Source organism: Homo sapiens, chromosome 5 (genome assembly GCF_000001405.40).
Source record: "Homo sapiens chromosome 5, GRCh38.p14 Primary Assembly".
Classification (NCBI taxonomy): Eukaryota; Metazoa; Chordata; class Mammalia; order Primates; family Hominidae; genus Homo; species Homo sapiens.
Window position 1 is genome coordinate 32,013,922 of NC_000005.10, and position 20,549 is coordinate 32,034,470.

Below are 20,549 nucleotides of genomic sequence, written 5' to 3' on the forward strand. Positions count from 1 at the left end.
CCAGGCCTGAGACAGAGCCCTGCAGGGGGCAGGAAGTGTGGGCAGCCAGGAGAGGACATTTTCCAGGCTTCACAGTCTACCAGGGTCGGCCCTGCTGTGCCTTATAAAGGTGCTGAACTACTGAAAAAATGTTCTTTCTTTTTTAGTTATATGTTCACAATCTATGATTCTTTGTTTCAGCGTTTTTAAAAATGAAAGGACCACTTAAAGAAATGTGGTACTGTTTTAATCACCTGAGTTACAAAAAGCCTTTTAGTTCACAGATGATGATGATGAAACCTGCCGCCAAATTCTAGCCAGACATGGACTGTTTTTGCACCTGTATGTCGTCGTGTACTCCGAGCACTTAAGCTGAGCAAATGCAATACAAATGCTGAGGATCTGCCATGCGTCCCCTTATGATTTATTTTTAATGGCTACAATAAAGAGCAATGAGATTTTCCTCTCAGAAAGCTCCATCCATGCTTAGAATAAAACCATATGGTGAATATCAAGTTTAAGGAGTAGAAGCCAGTGAAAAAGAGAATGGGAACAGGATGGTGAAACCCCACAATCATTTGCATAATTGTCAGTCATCTCAGTGGGGTCTGGCTTCAGTGACAGGGCTCGCCGTCTGCCACGACTCACCCCCACTGTCACCACCACCACAAGATTAAAGACTGCCAGTTTGGTCTCAGAAATATCAAAGTCTAGCCCTTCCCCCATACCACCCATGGCCCTGTTCTACCTGATTGGCAGTTCTTCTCCGAATCTCTCTTCATTTTCTGCTCTGCAATGACAATTTCTTTTTTTTTTTTTTTTTTTTTTTTTTTTGAGATGGAGTTTCACTCTGTCACCAGGCTGGAGTGCAGTGGCGCAATCTCTGCTCACTGCAACCTCCACCTCCAGGGTTTAAGCGATTCTTCCGCCTCAGTCTCCTGGGGACTATAGGCATGTGCCACCATGCCCACCTAATTTTTGTATTTTTAGTAGAGAACGGGGTTCCACCATGTTGGCCAGGATAGTCTCAATCTCTCTCTTTTTTTTTTTTTTTTTTTTGAGACGGAGTCTCACTCTGTCGCCCAGGCTGGAGTGTAGTGGCGCAATCTCGGTTCACTGCAACCTCCGCCTCCTGGGTTCAAGCAATTCTCCTGCCTCAGCCTCCTGAGTAGCTGGCACTACAGGCACCCGCCACCACACCCAGCTGATTTTTGTATTTTTAGTAGAGATAGGGTTTCACCATGTTGGCCAGGCTGGTCTTGAACTCCTGACCTCAGGTGATCTGCCCGCTTCAGCCTCCCAAAGTGCTGGGATTACAGTCGGTAGCCACCGCACCTAGCCCGACAATTTCTTTTTTTCTAGAGACAGGGTCTTGCTCTGGCGGTACCCAGGCTGAAGTGCAGTGGTGTGATCATAGCTCACTGTAACCTCAAACTCCTGGGCTCAAGCAATCCTCCCACCTCAGCCTCCTGAGTAGCTGGGAGTACAGGTGCACGCCACCGCAGCCTGCTAATTTTTTAAGTACTTTTTTTGTAGGGATGGGGCGTCACTATGTTGCCCAGCCTGGTTTCAAACTCCTGGCCTCAAGCGATCCTCCCACCTCGGCCTCCCAGATAGCTGGGATTACAGAAGTGAGCCACCTCGCCTGGCCATGCAGTGACAATATTTTAAATGAGAATCTGGCATGTCGCTTAAATGTTTACGATCTCCAATAAAATGAGTGGCACATGCATTGTGATTATTGGCTATTCAAAAAAGGTTTGTGTCCTTTCTCAAGTGTAAATAATGTCTTTGAAAAAGAAAGAGATTTTTCATGAGAAAAATCTATTTTCTAGCCTTCTGAGAGAGAAACTTTAAATTGAAGAGAAGAGGAAGAGTTTCAGTATAATAGGGTGTGAAATGGGTGATACTTATTAAGTTGGAGCCTGTCTCCCTTTTTATATTTTTAACAAAGAAAAAAAAATGGAAGTAATGGTTGTCTTTGCCAAATCTGCAATTGTAAAGCTCAGCTCGGAAGAGTTTGTTTAGCACATCAATCAGGAGACCCGTATCCGGCTTCCGTTGCCATCAAGCAAATCAGTTCTAACATTTTTGGAATCACAAGTTTGGAAAAATCTTGGAGAACTTTTGGGCGATTCAGGTTTTAGAAGGAATAAGGGACCTGTTTCTTACAAGGAAAGAAGAGCAAAGCAGGACCTTCCGATTCTGTGAGTCTGATATGGGTGTTTGATTCTTCGTTGGTGGAACTGCCAGGGGTATGGGAGCCTGAAAGCCAGTATCCTCGAGTGTAGAAATGAGGCCTGTGGAAAGAAAGGAGAGGACCTCTTGTGTTTTATTTGGACTGAATAATTGATCAAATGTCCGCTCTAAATGTTTCCAAATGTGTCCGGGCAGTAAGGACTTCTGTTACAGCATCTGAATGTATCATTTTTGGTTGATTCGTGGTGTCCTAGATGGGAAACTCTCTCTTGTTTCGGGGTTGACCTGGTTTTTTCTGGCAAATTGAACTTAGAGTCTAATACAAAGAACAATGAATACCAAGGGTGTAAACCTGTGATTAGCATTAAAACAGAAAGACACGGAGTCTGACTGGAAGGCAGATCTTCGGAGTAGTACTGTTAATCCTGAAAGACACCAGCATGGAGCTCTGCATCTATGGGGAGCGCATGTTCTTCCCCTGAGGCCTTGAGGATAGAGGGTTACCACTTAGGCTGCTTCTATGGGCAGTGTGGGCTGAGCTCACAGTCTCTCTGAGCCCAGGGCAATCACAGCAGCCTCTGCTTATGGATTCCCCACTCTGCCCCTGGGTCAAGAACAGTCTGCCCTTCTCTTTGGACTTCCACTTGCTATTTATGTAACTTCAGGATTCACCTCTTCCAGGAAGTCTTCCCAGAGCCATACATCCTACCTGCCTGGGCCCCCAGCATGCAGTGTGCCCTATGTTGTCTTCCCTGGCCCTTAATTCAGATCGTAGTGACATTGTTATTCAAGTGACAGCTCATTTAATGTCATCCTCCATGAGGTGGAGGCTCCATGGGGGCAGGGCCCCTGTCAGGTTTGCTCACTTGCGTCTCCCAGGTCCTCACTGTCACTGTGTGTGTATGGAGATACATGGATGGTTGGACAGATGTGCAGATGGGGGATGGTTGGTGTACCCTCTCACCATCCCGCAATGCCCCCTGCATACCTCTCGTCGTAAGCTTTGGTCGCCTTCCACTGTCTTGCCCAGCATACCATGAATTTAAAATGGCCTGGGCCGGGCACAGTGGCTCACACCTGTAACCCCAGCACTTTGGAAGGCCTAGGCAGGAGGATCACTTGAGGTCAGGAGTTCAAGATCAGCCTGGCCAATACGGCAAAACTCCATCTCTACTAAAAATACAAAAAAATTAGCCAGGTGTGGTGGCTCACGCCTGTAATCCCATCTATGAGGGAGACTGAGGCACAAGAATCGCTTGAACCCCGGAGGCAGACGTGGCAGTGAGCCGAGATGGGTGCCACTGCACTCCAGCCTGAGTGACAGAGCCAGACCCTGTCTCAAAAAAAAAAAAAAAATTAGAAAAAAATAGTTTAAAATGGCCTTGGCACATAGTGGACATTTGTTTCTGTCCCCAAATGAGAGAAAGTCTCTCTGCTATGCCCTTCTGGGAATTTCTCTCTGGGATAAGAATATCAGTGATTTAGACATCATTTTTTGAAGTGTAACAATGGGAGAACACAGTGTCCCTTCCCTTAAAATAGGATATTTGTGGTAGCATCTCATTAACAGATAAGTAGATTTCTTCCTTTTTGTTTGGTTAAGGTTAGAAACCTGCAAGCAGCTACAGGGAATTTAGGACTTGGTTTTTTAATGAATCAGCAGCAAAAACAAAGGATTAAACATCCCAGGGGGAGTTGGTGAAGAAATAAGTGGGATATAAGTGAAAAGACCAAAAAGGCACCAGGGCAAAGAGCCCAGAACTGTGAGTGTCAGAGATGTGGGTTGTGGTAAACAACCATAAAGTGTCAGAACTGCAGGGAACCTTGGGGAGTAACTGGTCCCAACCTCGCATTTTATAAGCTGGAGATCTACAATGAGAGGGAAGACCGCAGGGCTCCACTGATAGCAAACTTGTTCCCCTGGAAAAGTCACATTATAGCTCAAGGCAGCTGTGAGGGGAAAAAAAGAGCCAGGACAAAGAGATGAATGCAGTGCTAGGAGTTCACAGACTGTACCGAAATGCAGAAGGATCACTGTTTATGCAAAAGCATGAATGGGCGCAGGGAGCTTCCACACTCCTGCATCCGGCTCATGTGCACTCTGGAGAGGCCTCCTTGGCAGGTCTGAGTGGAGTAGGGCCCAGGAGTCTGTGTTTCTGGTGATTCTGAAGCTCAGTGAGATTATAAAAAGTGAAAGTGGCAAGGCTTCTAAGAGTCTCCCAGCTAGGGGCTGGGCGATGCCCAGGGACCTCTGTGTGCACGGCGTTGAGACAAAGGGAGGTTTTAGGCCCCCAACTGTCTCCCTATTTTCTGCAGTTCAGGGACAGAGGGAGTGAGGCCAAGGTGTTTGTGGTGCTCGTGGGAAACTTAGAAGCACAGATCCCCCAACCTGCTCCGGATCCTCATGAGCACAGACTGGCTTGCACATCATTGTTCTCATTGCCTTCCCAGACACCAGTTCCTGTTATATAGACCAGAGCTGCTGATGCAGAAACTGCCTCATTCTCGGCACCAACCCGCAGCAGGCGGCCACACATGCCAATCCACAGCTCCCTGAGTTGTGCATTTTCTCCCCACTGTCCCAAACTGAACTTCTCTCTCTCCCCAACCTCAGCCCGGGACTTCCCAAGTAGGTCTCAGTTCACTTAGACGTTCCTTAAGCAACACTTCAGCTGGCACAGGACGTATAAAAGGTTGCTTGAAACTCAATGCCTTATGTCGGATTGCCAGAGCAAGATAGGAAAGACGAGACTGCAATGATTGCTGGTCTGAGAAAATAAGATTTACATTTGGGGGTGGTTTTTGTTTGGTTTGGTTTTATATTTAAGAAGATGAAGTGATTATTTAAGTGGGTGGAGGAAGAAAGGAGATAAGAGTAGTTACTTGGGCGAGATGAATTGCCTGGAAAACTGCTGAAGTTTGAATCCTGTGGCACACTCTCAGGGGCCTGTTCCAACTGGCTACCTGGCCTTGCTGCATTTTTATCTAAGGAGTTTGCAGTTCTCTAAGTAAACAGCTCATGTCATTTGCATAGAAAAGCTTTTTTTTTTTTTTTTTTTTGAGACAGGGTCTCACTCTGTTGCCCAGTCTGGAGTGCAATGGCACAATTATGGCTCACTGCAGCCTTGACTTCCTGGGCTCAAGAGATCCTCCCACCTCAGCCTCCTGAGTAGCTAGGATTACAGTTGCATGCCACCATGCCCAGCTAATTTCTTTGTATATTTTGTAGAGACGGGGTCTCCCTATGTTTTCTAGGCTGGTCTCAAACTCCTGGGCTCAAGCAATCCTCCCGTCTCAGCCTCCCAAAGTACTGGGATTGCAGGCGTGAGCCACGTTTCCCAGCCAGAAAAGCAAATATTGTATTTCACATGGATCCTCAAAGAGCAGTGGTCTCCATAATAGAATAGGCACACCCAGAGGAGAAGCCAGATGATCCCTTGGGGTGTGGAAGGAAAATAGTAGAATGTATGTAGGTCTTACCGTGTTTTAGATTGTTTTGTTTTATGTCTACGTTAGGCGTGCTTGATGGCTTCTCAGCCTAGAAAGACTGACATCATAGCATGGAGCATTAGGAAATACAGTTAAAAAAATTTCCTTAGTATGCAATCAACTTTATTATCGTTCTTTGGATTTGAAAAATTCTTTCAGATTTCAATGAAAATAAAATATGAATCATTGGAGCATATAATAAAGTTTCTTGGCCCTGAAGTTAATTTCTTTTATGAACATAATATGTAGAAGTCATGTAATGACTTTCTCACGGGAGGTAAGTTTCTTCCTGTCTTTGCGCATTTCATTAGTGTTCCAAGAAGGCTTCTCACCCCTGTTCCAAATTTTCCTCTTATTTGTACCACTCCTATTTGGTTAATTTCAGTTTATATGTCCTTAAGGGGTTTATGTCTGTGGTCCACAAGCTGAAATGTAAAGTAGAATATATATATATACACACATATATATATATTTTTTTAATTTAATTTTTTTTTTTTGAGACAGAGTCATCCTCTGTCACCCAGACTGGAGTACAGTGGCACAATCTCAGCTCACTGCAACCTCCACCTCCATGCCTAGCTAATTTTTGTATTTTTAGTGGAGACAAGGTTTCACCATGTTGACCAAGCTGGTCTCAAACTCCTGACCTCGTGATCCGCCTGCCTTGACCTCCCAAAGTGCTGGGATTACAGGCGTGAGCCACCACCATGCCCAGCCAAAATAGAATATATTAAGACTCAAAGGAAGATGGCTGTTCAGAAATGAAACTGAAATAAAAATTTCTTCTGCCATAGACAAAATTATGGCAATAACCACACGAAGTGGGAACAGGGTAACGTGGCTCATTTTTGCATCATGTATCTCAGGATAACTCTGTTTATGAGCTTCGCTGAGCCTCTAAGGTAACAAAAATCCTTGAGATGTGTCTTCTGAGACTGTAATGTAGATAATGTTGCTGCACTGTCAGAATCTTACTCTTAAGAGGAACAGGAGATCCTCACTTAGTTTCAGTTTCAGTTATTGTGCTGGATTATAGGCAAATGACAAAATGATCTTTTTTTTTTTCTTTTTTTTTTGAGACAGAGTCTCACTGTCACCCAGGCTGGAGTGCAGTGGCGCGATCTCGGCTCACTGCAACCTCTGCCTCCCAGGTTCAAGCGATTCTCCTGCCTCAGCCTCCCAAGTAGCTGGGACTATAGGTGCACACCACCATTCCTGGCTAATTTTTTGTATTTTTAGTAGAAACAGTGTTTCACCATGTTGGCCAGGCTGGTCTTGAACTCCTAACCTCAAGTGATCTGCCCACCTCAGCCTCCCAAAGTGCTGGGATTACAGGAGTGAGCCACTGCACCTGGCCAACAAAATGATCTTCGACGATGCATAGATGAGTTAGATAAATGGGCATTGGGTGCCGGGGGGAAAAAAACCCCACCTTACTTAAAGACTTCATGTGCATTGAAGACTTGGAATTTTTTTTTTTTTTTTTTACATTTTCCTCTTTTTAGCCACATCTTATGCAACATGGTAGCACACAGCCTGAGAAATAAAGCAAAATACAAGAGGTCAGAAGTTCCCCTGTGGAATCCAGGGCAGAAATTTCACAAAGAAATGGAGCGATTTAGGACAAACTCCTCACCCCACCCCCTACCGTTACTGTTTGCTTGCCTTGATTTTTTTTTTAATTGTTGTTGTTTTTGAGACAGCCTCGCTCTGTCACCCAGGCTGGAGTGCTGTGGCATGATCTCGGCTCACTGCAACCTCTGCCTCCCGGGTTTAAGCAATTCTCTTGTCTCAGCCTCCTGATTTCAAGCAATTCTCATGCCTCAGCCTCCCGAGTAGCTGGGATTACAGGCACCTGCCACCATGCCTGGGTGATTTTTGTATTTTTTAGTAGAGATGGGGTTTCACCATGTTGGCCAGGCTGGTCTTTAATTCCTGACCTCAAGTGATCCACCTGCCTCAGCCCCCCAAAGTGCTGGGATTATAGGCATGAGCCACCGCATCTGGCCTCCTGACAGAGACTTTCTAACTCCTCCACGCCTTCAGTAGTCTCTCCTTTCTCTGATTGCCAGTCTTACCTGTTTCTCACATTTTAGCACTTAAAATCAGAACGTCAGCTCCCGGTTTGTTAATGGGCAGGTGTTTTCCAAAATTTGTTGGTAAAGCTTTTGTTTGGATATTCAAATTTATTTCCCCTTGAAACAAATATATCTACTTAGTAAATATCTGTGGAATTATCTTTTAAGCTATGAGTAGCAAAAAAGGTGGCCTTTGTGTCACCCACTTACCCCTCCTCTTTAGCTCCTGGGGCAGACATCTGGAATTCTTCCTAGCACTCTTCCTGCTGATACCAGATACAACTGCAGTAGTTCATAACATGACCCTGCAGGTGCCCACAACCAAGGCATTGTACGAATCAATGCTGGATGACGGCCAGCCTGACATCTCCGTCCACACTCAGCACTGTGCTGGGTGCTTTGGGGATACAGAGATGGCAGACCCAGTCTTGTTTCTTCTCTCATGGTATTTTTTATATTCCATAATGAATTATGATTATTTCTGTACTTGTCTTCTTCTTTTTTCGTTTTGTTTTTTTGTTTTTTTGTTTTTTGTTTTTTTTTGGAGTTGGGGGATGGAGTCTCACTGTTGCCCAGGCTGGAGTGCAGTGGCATGATCTCTGCTCAGTGCAACCTCTACCTCCCGGGTTCAAGCAATTCTCCTGCCTCAGCCTCCCAAGTAGCTGGGACTACAGGCGCACACCGCCACTCACAGCTAATTTTTTTTTTTTTTTGTATTTTAGTAGAGATGGGGTTTCACCATGTTGCCCAGGCTGATCTCGAACTCCTGAGCTCAGGCAATCTGCCTGCCTCGGCCTCCCAAAGTGCTGGGATTATAGGTATGAGCCCCCGCACCCAGCCATTTCTGTACTTTTCATAGTCCCCTTTTCAGCATAATGAATCCTCAAGGAGCCATGTGCAATACTGACCTAGAGAAGAGATCTGATTCCTTCTGGGGATCAGTAGGGGTTCAATGGATGGGTGGCATTTGACTATTCCATAGGACTTCCACAGGAACACCTGCAGAAACTGATGACATTCTGGAACAGAAAAATAACATGTACAGTGGTCCTCAAATAGGAAATTTTGAAGTCTGTCCAGAAATCCACAAAGTCTATTGAGCAAAATGTTCAGCCCATGCTTCTAGTTTCAGACTATGGAATTTTGACTTCTTTTGCAAGGAAAGTGACTCACTGATGGCTTTTCAGTTGAGTGACAGGGTCAGAGTTTTTAAGATTACTCAAGCAGCGTGGCAGAGGAGGAGTGGGATTGAAGAAAGGCAGGATGGAGGTGAAAAGATGGATTTGGAGGCCTTTGCTGTACCTAGTCCCATTGAGAGGTAACCAGAGCCTGTGCTGCAGGAGTGATGGTCATGAGGATGGAGAGGCGGGAAGCCGTGTGAGTGACAGGCAATGGGAGGTCACCTGCCAGTCGGGGTGCTGGCTTCTGGGAGCAAGGGCCCCTTGGCATGGAGGGAGAGGATGAAAAGTTTCCTTCCCTTTTTTCCTGAAGGCAGGGCTGGCCCTATGCAATATTTTGAATGGGTTTCTATTTGCCTTTGAACCCTCATGTCATCCCCTCCTGCTCACTTGATGCCGGCTGTCTTTACAGGCCCCCGGAGCCCAGAGCTTTCATCCTGGTCTGAACTCTCCACTGAGGTCCCCACCGTCTCCCCTCCCAGACAGCCTCTCCTTCCTCCTTCTCCAAGCCACGTTCTCTCATTGCACCACCACCAACAACCCAAAAGACCAAAAAACAAACCAACCTTTTCCATTTTTCCAAGCAGTGTGTTTGTTAGGAAAGCAATCTGACTTAAAACCTATTTAAACAGTGGTAAGTGATTCTGGGACACTTAGCAAAGTATGTACATTTTAAACAGAGAATCCTTCTTAAAGAGTTTATCTGTATCATTTAAAAATGAAATTTAAGATAAAATTACACAGAATCCTGGATGACAAGGTTGCTTTTAGAGGAGATACCATGCTAGCTTCTTGCCTAAGATGTCTCTCTCTGTCACTTCCTTCCCTTTCACTTACTAAGTCATATTTTCTGAAAATTCTCAAGTCTTCATAACGACTCTGGGTACAGATGGCAGTGGGGAGATGGGTAGGGCTAGAGTATGAACTATTCCTAGACCGTAGCCCCCCTTATCCAGAGTTTTGCTTCCTGCAGTTTCATTTACCCACAGTAAACCTCTATCAGAAAATATAACTCCAGAAACAAACAATTCGTAAGTTTTAAATTGTGTGCCATTCTGACGAGAGTGGTGAAATCTCATGCTGTCTTGCTCTGTCCCGCCTGGGACGTGAATCACCCCTTCATCCAGTTTATCTACACCATCTACACTACCTGCCCGTTAGTCACTACGTAGCCAGCTCCATGATCAGATCAACTATTGTGGTATCACGGTTCTTGTGATCAAGCAGTTGTATTCTGCTTCATGATTGCCCCGTAGTGCAAGCAATGATGCTGGCAATGCAGATAAGCCAAAGAGAAGCCATACAGGGCTTCCTTTTGGTGGAAAGTTTCTTGAGGAAGGAAGGAAAAGTCATATGCTGAGGTTGCAAGATCTATGGTAAGAATGAATCTTCTATCCTTGAAACTGTGAAGAAGGAAAAAGAATTTTGTGCTAGTTTTGCCATCATCCCTCAAGCCGCAAAAGTTACAGCCACAGTGCATAAGCGCTTAGCTAAGATGGAAAAGGCATTAGATTTGTGGGTGGAAGACGTGAACAGAAACATGTTCCAATTAACGGGGCCGGGCATGGTGGCTCATCCCTGTAATCCCAGTACTTCGGGAGGCCAAGGCGGGCAGATTACCTGAGGTCAGGAGTTTGAGACCAATATGGCCAACATGGCGAAACCTCGTCTCTACTAAAACTACAAAAATTAGCTGGGTGTGGTGGTGCACTCCTGTTATCCCAGCTATTCAGGAGGCTGAGGCAGGAGAATCGCATGAATCCGGGAGGTGGAGGTTGCAGTGAGCCAAGATTGTGCTATTGAACTCCAGCCTAGGCGACAGGGCAAGACTTCATCTCAAAAAAAAAAAGAAAGAAAAAAAAGAAAAGGAAAGAAAGAAACGTGGGGTTTGGCACATATGCCCCATGGATGGGGGCTCCGTTGTAGATGAGGAGTTACAACTGAAGGACCACATAATAAGCATTTCAGGCTTTGCTAGCCAAACAGTCTTTGTTTCAACTGCTCACCTCTGCCTTTGTACTTTGAAAGCAGCCATAAACAATAAATAAATGGGCATGACTGTGTTCCAGTAAAACTTGACAAAAACAAGTGCTGGGCCAGATTTGGCCCCCAGGCATGTTGGCTGAGCCCTGCTGTAGGTGATCATTTGTGAGCCTGGAACAGCCTCTCTTTTTGCTCCTTCCTGTGGGCTCACCAGCATCTCAGCTTTCCCAACAGATTATCTTAAAGAAGCGCCTGCCCTTAGAAATATATGTCAGCAAAGCCCATGAACTCAACACTATTCCTAGAAAGAAAGGAAGGAAAAAGAAGGAAGGAAAGAAGCAGCAAGGAGCTCATATTGATCTGGGGAAGGCAGCGGAAGGCCAGAGAGTGCTGCCTGGAACTTAACAGTGAGCCCTGGCCGGGTGCGGTGGCTCACATCTGTAATCCCAGCACTTTGGGAGGCTGAGGAGGGCGGATCACCTGAGGTCAGGAGTTCAAGACCAGCCTGACCAACATGGAGAAACCCTGTCTCTACTAAAAATACAAAATTAGCCGAGCGTGGTGGCACATGCCTGTAATCCCAGCTACATGGGAGGCTGAGGCAGGAGAATCACTTGAACCCGGGAGGTGGAGGTTGTGGTGAGCCAAGATCGCGCCATTGCACTCCAGCCTGGACAACAAGAGTGAAACTCTGTCACAAAACAAACAAACAAACAAACAAACAAACAAAAAACAACTAGTGAGCCCAAATGTAACCATGATGCTTTTTTTTTTTTTTTTTTTTTTTTTTTTGGAAACAGTCTCACTCTTGTCACCCAGGCTGGAGGGCAGTGGCATGATCTCGGCTCACTACAACCTCCACCTCCCGTTTCAAGTGATTCTCTTGCCTCAGCCTCCCTAGTAGCTGGGATTACAGGTGCCCTCCACAATGCCCAGCTAATTTTTGTGTTTTTAGTAGACACAAGATTTCACTATGTTGCCCAGGCTGGTCTCAACCCCTGACCTCAAGTGATCCACCTGCCTCAGTCTCCCAGAGTGCTGGGACTGCAGGCGTGAGCCAACAAGCCCAGGCCACGATGTCTTACTTTTCACCTAAAACCTGCCTAAATGGCATGCCCAGTTAAAACAATCTTTTTCTGTTACAATAATCCATGTAAGAGTATGACACATTTTCTGAAAGATTTGTCTAAAAAAGAGCCTGGTATGTTTACTGTTGCTGCTGAATTGGATTTGACTCTGCTGCTGTATCAGGGCCCCTTCTGACAATTCACCTCTTGCTTCCTTTCCTGCTAATTGTCCTGTTGACTACTATTTTTTTTTTTTTTTGGTAACAGTGTCTGGCTCTGTCACCCAGCCTAGAGTGCAGTGGCACAATCTTGGCTCACTACAACCTCCATCTTCTGGGCTCAAGCTATTCTTCCACCTCAGCCTCCCAAGTAGCTGAGACTACAGGCATGTGCCACCACACCCAGCTAGATTTTGTATTTTTTGTAGAGACGGGGTCTTGTGATGTTGCCCAGGCTGGTCTTGAACTCCTGGGCTCAAAGCAATCCGCCCGCCTCCGCCTCCCAAAGTGCTGAGATGACAGGCGTGAGCAACTGCGCCCAGCCTTGTGTACTTCTTAGGGCTCTTTTACATGCCTTTCTTTTTTTAACAGCCTTCCCACCACTACCTTTTACATGTCTTGAGATTTTCCTGTATGCATGTGTATGCGTGCACGTGCACGCACGCACACACACACACACACCTGATTTTGTCATTCTGGTGTTTAAAGCATATCATAGTCCTACTTCCAGAAATACATCCAATGCAATGAACCTGGTAGCCAACACTGCTGAGAAATGACCCAAGGGTCTACCTTGAGTAGCCAGCCCCCAAATCCAAAGAATAGCTCCAGACCCCATAGTTTTCTCACCCACTAGGTCATGGGACCATGGCAAGAGTGAGAGAGTTCCACTTCCCAGAGGATGCCTGTTATTACCTTACCTCAATTTGAAATCTGTACTAAGGTTGAACACATGCATTCTCCTCCTTGACCTCCACATCCCCTGTTGTTTCCTTTTTTTGTTGTTTTTGTTTTTTGTTTTTGTTTTGAGACAGAGTCTCGCTCTGTCGCCCAGGCTGGAGTGCAGTGGCACGATCTCGGCTCACTGCAGTCTCTGCCTCCCGGGCTCAAGCAATTCTCCTGCCTCAGCCTCCTGAGTAACTGGGATTACAGGTGTGTGCCACCACGCCCGGCTGATTTTTTGTACTTTTAGTAGAGACGGGGTTTCACCATGTTGGCCAGGCTGGTCTTGAACTCCTGACCTCAGGTGCTCCACCCGCCTCGGCCTCCCAAAGTGCTGGAATTACAGGCGTGAGCCACCATGCCTGGCCCCCCTGTTATTTTCAAAGAGCTGAGAGTTACTAGAGGACACTAGCCTCTCTTGGGAACATGACACATACAAACCCACTGCAAGAGGGTCAGTTACAAGCTAATGACTGATTACATTCCTGTGCCCTTAAAGGTGATTACCTCAACTTTCTAAGGAACCAAGAGATCTCTTTAAATTTCAACGCATAAAAATAATCACTCTCAATGTGTGTTAAGCCCATTCAAATTGTTTGGGGGTGATGAATGGGAGGAAGCTGGAAATGGGCTTAGCTAGAACAAGGGCAGTATTAATTCATTTGCGGAGCCACAGCCTGAGCGTCGCAGTGGGCATCAGTTGCGGCTCCCCCCACTCCCAGCTGCATCTGACAACCTCTGATCTATGCACACATGCCCGGCGTGTACCAGAGCACGCCCAGGGTTGACGAGTTTGACTTTGTGGTGTTGCTGTTTTCCTCTTTAGTTCTGAGTTACTCTCTTGATTGGAAAGCAGCGGGTCGAGTGTAGCAGTAGATTCCTGTTTTAATTTCTACACGTAACTTGCAGGCTTCTTGCTACTTTGTGCTGATTTATTGTTGTCCTGATTCCCATTTTCTGAATGGTTATTCATTCCCAGCCCAGGCCTCTCTGATGACCATCTGGTTCTCCTTCGGTCACTCAAACATCTGCCCCAGAGACTTGGAAAATGAGCTTCCTTTGGCAACCTAAAAATAATCTTAGTGTGACTGAAGCCTGAAAGGGAAATCGCTGCGTTCCACTGTCCTATGGACACTGACCGGGGAATGAGCCAACAGAGCTTCCTGGGGATTTGGAGCTTAGATGTCTTCTGTCACATCTGCAGATTTTTTCTTTTTTTTTCAAGTCTTGGGAACCATAAAAACATGGTGAGAACTGGGTGCAACCAGTCCTGAAGTTTTCTTTGGGACTAGGCAAGCTTGCACAAAGGAAACAGCTGGAGATAAAAGCCACGCTTTGCATGGTTTGTTCGTAAGGCTGCAAGAGCTGGCTGAGAAAGACAGCGGATACTCAGGATTGCGACATGCTATTAGTCACAGTGTGTTCCAGGAGAGCTCACAAATGCTTTGAAACAGTTACAGGATATTTCTAAGGATATTTAGCTTGGACCTAAGAGGCCTGTCTCATGGGCAATGATGGTTTGCCCCCCACCCCTAGAAGACGAAATTTGCCAGAAACTAAAACTCAGTCCCTGTGGTATTTCTCATCCAAAATTATTTCTAGCCACATTGTCTAGTGCAACTTTTCAGAGGTTCTGCAATGATATAAAATGTCAACATAATAATGTTCAAATAAATTAAATGCCCTTGTAGGTCATAATCCAAAGATCTTAAAATCTAAAGTAATTAACATCTCAACTTAAATTTCCTTGACTTTTTGTGTTTAAAAAAAACCAAAGCCCTTAATGGCCTCCTTTGATCTCTCCTATTTCTTATTTTGCTCCTTCTATTTTTTTTTTTTGTTTTTTTTGTTTTTTTTTTTTTTTGAGACAGAGTCTCGCTCTTGTTGCCCAGGCTGGAGTGCAGTGGCACAACCTTGGCTCACTGCAACCTCTGCCTCCCGGATTCAAGGAATTCTCCTGCCTTAGCCTCCCGAGTAGCTGGGATTATAGACATGTGCCACCACACCCAGCTAATTTTTGTATTTTTAGTAGAGACGGGGTTTCACCAGGTTGGCCAGGCTGGTCTGGAACTCCTGACCTCAAGTGATCCGCCTGCCTTGGCCTCCCAAATTGCTGGGATTGCAGGCGTGAGTCACCGCGCCCAGCCATTATTTTGCTCATTCTTAGTTAAGGAGATCCTTGGTGCTGGATGCTGGAAAAAGATTGTGTTTTTCAGCATCTGCAGCCTGGGCTGTTTTCCACAGGAATAAATACAGTTTTTTCCAGCTCCAAGAAGACTGAATTCATTCAACAGCAAGTCTCTCATGTGCTTTACTTTTTAGTGATATGCAAATAAAAAAAAGTAAGTGGACCCTCAATAGTATCAAAACATTGTCCCCACGCCCTTAACATTTAGAAAGATGACCCAAACCCCAGTCCCTAGACAGTTGTCCTAGGCAAGATTTTGTTCTTGGGACCTTATTTAAATTTGCCAAAGGTAGTATCAAGAACTGTAAAAAAAAAAAAAAAAAAAAAAAAGCTTTTCCACTATAGTTTCATGGATGCTGGCAGGAGACTTGAGATTCCTGAGTCAGAGACAAATGACTTTTTATTACTCATGGCACAGCAACTAGATTTTAGCTTCCCTAATCCCAGTTTTTAGGATTTAACCCCAGTTTATTTAGGGCTTTATGTTCACATCATTTCCCCTTTCCCCTGCAAGTCCTGTGGCGGTGACACAGGCTCGGGGGTGTGCACATGCAGTGGATTTGCATCACAGCTGAGGATCCCTCACCATAGGCAACCTCAGTCTTTTATGATGGGCTAGAAGCAGACCTGACCAACCTTTGCACCAGAGGAAGGAACCTGTCCCTTCCTCCTGAGACACTATCTAACTTTCAAGGCTGTTCACTCTACAAACATCCCTGGAAAGACAGATAATTCCATGTAACAACAGCCTCTGTCTCTGTTTGCACGCCATGCAGAAATGCAAGAGACCCAGGGAGAATTACCTCCCAATAGGGCAGACCAGAGAGACTCAGTAATATCAAGAAAAGGCAGGTTGATGAGGAAAAGATTCTTGGCTTCTCTTAAAGATGCCAGTCAGTCTGACAGTTGTCTGGAGTTCACGACCATGAACTTAAAGCCAATTGGCAGGAATCTTCCTCCCAACTGGAGTTGGAGGGAAATCAACCCGGTCCTACTTCAAGTGCTTTCTGTGTGTATTCAGTAGCTTCTTGACTGGCATTTTCACTTTGACATAAAAGTAAAGGGCTTCATGGCGTGCTGCATTGGGTGTAGATGGTGCCTCTGATGGAGCTCTACCTTCTTAAAAGCAGGAATGTTCAGTCAGTCCTGGGCCACATTTTCCATTTCCACTGCCTCTTGGCATGGAAGTGCTTAGACTGAAGAAAGCTTCATCTCTCCTTCCACATTTGTTGAGCTGGAAAAACACCCTCCGCAGATTCATGATCCAGACCTTCTGTTGATGATTCTAGAGCTTGTGCCCCTAATGAGCTAGTAAGGGCTAATACCTCTGCCGCCTCTTCCTTGGGATTAGTTTTTTCTCAGGTTTTGAGTGTCCCAGGGATCACGTGGCATTGCTTTCTCCTACATATTTTGGGGCAGTAATTGGATATGTCTGTAGTGATTCATATCCTTCCCCTTTGGGAAAGACTTAATTGAGTTTCCTTTTTACCTGCTGCTTAAATTAGTTCCATTTCTTCTTTATAGGTTTGCATGCTGAATTTGGGTGTTTTTTAAAAAGTATTTCTACTGTTTCTTTGTTTCTGACTCAGACCTTTTTTCCTAACATACTAATCTAGATAATATACAGGGTCCATCACTGTGAAAGAGATGAAATCAATGACTCTTCTATTTAGTGAAATATCCATTGTTCAAATGCATGCTGACCACCACTGGCTCTGCGTTAGCTAATTCCACCTAGGAAATGTTCTCCTATCAGGCCAGCATCAAGTTCTAGCCTATTCTCCTCCTGCCAGGCCCCACCCCCTTGGTATTTCTCATATTTACTCCCTTTAGAGTCCCTCATTTCATGCATTTCTCGGCCCACTTTCATCAGAGCAATGACCGATAACTGTGTTCTGTTAGAATTTACTGAGGATTTTTTTCATTCTTCTCGGTCTTCCCTGCAGTTTTGCCTTCAAGTCTGTCCGCATATGCTGATCTCTCTTGGGAGAGCTGTCCCAGATTATCCTTCCAAAGCTCTTCCTCTGCAGTCTTAAAATCATTTGTCTCATGTTTTCTGGGCCTGGAATTCCACTCTCTTCCCTGTGGTTTTGACTCTCAGGTAGCTTTCTTCAGGTCCCAGTCACCCCCACTAATTTAGGAATAACGTAGCATCTCCCTACTTTTGTGACAGACCCTTTAAGATAGGAACCGTCAAGAGTCTTTTCCATACATCACTGTGCTCTGGGACTTCACAATCCCAGTTACTCATCAGACTCTGGAGTCTGTTGTCTAAGATCTCTTTTAAGGAAGTATCCCTTTTTCTCTAGTTAGTCATCATGTATTTCTTTATTTTCTCTTTTCCACTACGCCTATTCTGATCAGGGACCAGAGCATGTTTTCAAATCCTCCTTGTTCTTGTGCGCAAACCTGATTTCTAAAAACTGAGCATTTCAGGCACATGCCTTTAAAAATGGCTTCTTAGCTGTGAGTTTTGCAGTAATTTTATTAAAGGGCTTTTTTCCCCATCTTCAAAGAAGATGGCATGTCTTTGGATCTCCATTGGTTTCTCTTTATTCTTTAATGAAATCTGCCACTTTCCATAGGTATGAAGTTGAAATGTATATCTCTGCAGTCTAGAGCTACAGTCTATGTAATCATCAAATCTGGAGGCACCCTGAGACCTGGGGGGAGAAAGCTTGGGCCTTTTTATTTCTTTAATTTCGACTAAACCTTACCTATATTCTTATGATACACATTAGGTACTCCACAGTGAATTTCTTTTTAACCCTCATGATAACCCTGTAAGACAATTGCAAGGTATTTTTAACTCTTTAAACATAAATACGATTGTTCCTATTTCACATAATGAAAAAACTGCCTTGGATATCAATGATCAATATGTTACAGGCACAATCCGTGCTGCTGCCTATGGCACATGTAAATTGCATTATACTCTGCATACACCTCCTGTGCTTATAGTTTATACATTGAGCAGAACAAGTTTCCATAAATCACTGATTAAAATATGTATACTCTGAATAGGGAGCAACATGACAGTCACCCTTATTTGTTGGCTGGTGGGCTACTCAGGTACAGCTGAGAAGCTTTCATTTCTTCTCTTCTTCATTTCTGAAGTAAACGTGGGGGAGAGCAGGAAGAACTGGGAAGTCGCAGCTTAGTTCCGTGTCCAGTTCCACTGGAGGCTGGTTCTGTTGGCCCAGGGCAGTGGTGAATTCCAGAGGCCCAGGCCCTGTTCCTCTTCCATGAGCCTGGTCTCTGTGTTCTTTGTTAGCTTTCCTGCTGATTCTGATGCACCTCAAAGTTTCCCTAGGCCATTCTCAGCCCCTGAGAATCTGCCTCGGAATCAGACCTGTGTAAATCAGTGGCCACGTCGGTCACTTTCACTCTCTCGGTCGTTCCTTGGGCCACTGCTTCCGCCTTCATGCCCACTTCCAGAGGTCCTCTTCTGGCAACTTCTGAGCTTTGGGGGAGTTCTCTGTGTGAACGTTCAGCCTTCTCCAGTCCACACTTAGGATTCAGCTTTCTCAAGTCAGATCCATTGCCACGTGGTTGTCAGCTTGCTGGTTTCCAGAATTTGTTGCTTTTGTCTTCTGTTTTCTTTATCCTTGTAAATTATGTCTGTCTTTTCCTAAAAAAAATTTTCCCTGTCATGTTAGTGTGGTTTCAAAGGGAAATCAGGAGAAATCTGCCACCTTTAGTCAGAAACCTATGTTATTTAATTCCCAAATGCAGGCCCATTTTTCAGATGAGGACACTGACGTTCAAAGAGGTTGACTGACGTGCCTAAACTGCAGTAAAATGGTATAATCAGGATTTGTGCCCAGGTAGCTGGCCGGATTCTCAACCACTCTGCCCCACTACCTCTCTACAAAATCAGATGCTAAAGATGCTTCTTCATTGAGTGCTGTGTATGTTACAGGTGTGGAAAATGATGCAAACAGGAAGGCTCTACCATGGAAATTGGCAAATTCTATGAGACTCCATTAATATAATGGGATTGTTTTGTACTACACTTGATGTTAGCCAAGAGGCCGAGAAGCAATAATGGCATTGTTTTGTAACACATGAATTAGAAACTGCTCATGAATAATAGATTTTATCAACTGTTTCGCTGAACTGAAGGCCTTCCAGGAGAACATTTTGCAAATTTCGTTTCAGAACAGCTAAAATGACATCATTTCCAGAACAGTTTGCTCTGTGCATTGGGAACAAAACCACACACAGAAAAGGGACTCTCTTAGAGTGTGGACATTTTCAGACAATAGTCAAAGTGTAATCAAAATTGCATTTTATATTGCTACTTCCTGACATAATCTGGAATGAATGTGTCTAAGCAACCCACTTCCTGTTCAGTGAGTTACAAGTCGTCTAATATCACAACAAACTCAACGAAAAAACAGTTTTTTGTTATAAGAGGAAACAGTTCCATTTAAATTCATTCCCCACTGCTAACCCTTTCAGTGGGTTCTGAAATAAGATGTCACTCCTTCCTTGCTCAACAGCAAGAGCTCTCTGCTTGCAACTCTTTGAGATATCTCTAGGTCCATTCTTACTGGCTCTAGCTACAGGCATTAGGTAGCCACATACACCATCTCTCTTTTTTTTTTTTTTGAGACAGAGCCTCGCTCTTTTGCCCAGGCTGGAATGCAGTGGCGCGATCTCGGCTCACTGCAACCTCTGCCTCCTGGTTTCAAGCAATCCTCCTTCCTCAGCCTCCCAAGTAGCTTGGACTACAGGCACTCACCACCACACCCGGCTAATTTTTGTATTTTAGTAGAGATGGGGTTTCGCCATGTTGGCCAGGCTGGTCTTGAACTCCTGGCCTCAAGAAATCTGCCCACCTCGGCCTTCCAGAGTGCTGGGATTACAGGTGTGAACCACCACGTCTGGCTCACATATACCATCTTTAGCATAAGATTTCTTTGACATAAAAAACCTACTGGCATTTTGTAGATCATAGAAACTGAATCTGTCTATCATGACCAGAAACCTTTCAGGCAGGCTCCTTTCCTTCTCAGGTGCTCAGAAGTGCTTGTATCATCTCCAAAATGTCTCTGATCCTATGAAAACCTGGGGCTGTGTTGGGAAAATAAAGGAGAAGACAGATGCAGAAAACTTCCTAAGTCCAGAAACAATAGGCTGGCATGGTTTTCCTTGCTCGGCATGAGCATCTCAGACAGACTTTCCAACGTTTGGGACCTTGGCCACTGTGTAATAAGCTACCCATTTAGTAGGCACCAAAGGCGGTAATGTCTTACAAGCCAGGGAATCCCTTACTCTGAAGGTCGATAGCCTGGGTCAGGTGGTATTATCAGAAGGAACCAGGAATTTTTTTTTTTTTTTTTTTTTTGACACAGAGTCTCGCTCTGTCACCCAGGCTGGAGTGCAGTGGCGCAATCTCAGCTCGCTGGAACCTCTGCCTCCCAGGCTCGAGCTATTCTTGT

At 45.0% G+C, this 20,549-nt stretch overlaps 1 protein-coding gene across 8 annotated transcripts in view, besides 5 other annotated features; it reads left to right on the forward strand.

The window, feature by feature from the left end:
• PDZD2 (PDZ domain containing 2) overlaps positions 1 to 20,549 on the forward strand; it is a 471,802-nt gene that overhangs the window by 374,791 nt on the left and 76,462 nt on the right. The window lies entirely within an intron of this gene.
• Positions 2,644 to 3,145: an enhancer, noted in NCBI's record as "H3K4me1 hESC enhancer chr5:32016671-32017172 (GRCh37/hg19 assembly coordinates)". NCBI's record gives its function as "activates a minimal SCP1, AML or CMV promoter by ChIP-STARR-seq in primed H9 embryonic stem cells {active_cell/tissue: H9 hESC(primed)}" and the evidence as "EXISTENCE:reporter gene assay evidence [ECO:0000049][PMID:30033119]".
• Positions 3,146 to 3,645: an enhancer, noted in NCBI's record as "H3K4me1 hESC enhancer chr5:32017173-32017672 (GRCh37/hg19 assembly coordinates)". NCBI's record gives its function as "activates a minimal SCP1, AML or CMV promoter by ChIP-STARR-seq in primed H9 embryonic stem cells {active_cell/tissue: H9 hESC(primed)}" and the evidence as "EXISTENCE:reporter gene assay evidence [ECO:0000049][PMID:30033119]".
• Positions 6,424 to 6,473: an enhancer, noted in NCBI's record as "active region_22435". NCBI's record gives its function as "activates an Ori minimal core promoter by ATAC-STARR-seq in GM12878 lymphoblastoid cells {active_cell/tissue: GM12878}" and the evidence as "EXISTENCE:reporter gene assay evidence [ECO:0000049][PMID:35858748]".
• Positions 6,494 to 6,603: an enhancer, noted in NCBI's record as "active region_22436". NCBI's record gives its function as "activates an Ori minimal core promoter by ATAC-STARR-seq in GM12878 lymphoblastoid cells {active_cell/tissue: GM12878}" and the evidence as "EXISTENCE:reporter gene assay evidence [ECO:0000049][PMID:35858748]".
• Positions 13,112 to 13,613: an enhancer, noted in NCBI's record as "H3K4me1 hESC enhancer chr5:32027139-32027640 (GRCh37/hg19 assembly coordinates)". NCBI's record gives its function as "activates a minimal SCP1, AML or CMV promoter by ChIP-STARR-seq in primed H9 embryonic stem cells {active_cell/tissue: H9 hESC(primed)}" and the evidence as "EXISTENCE:reporter gene assay evidence [ECO:0000049][PMID:30033119]".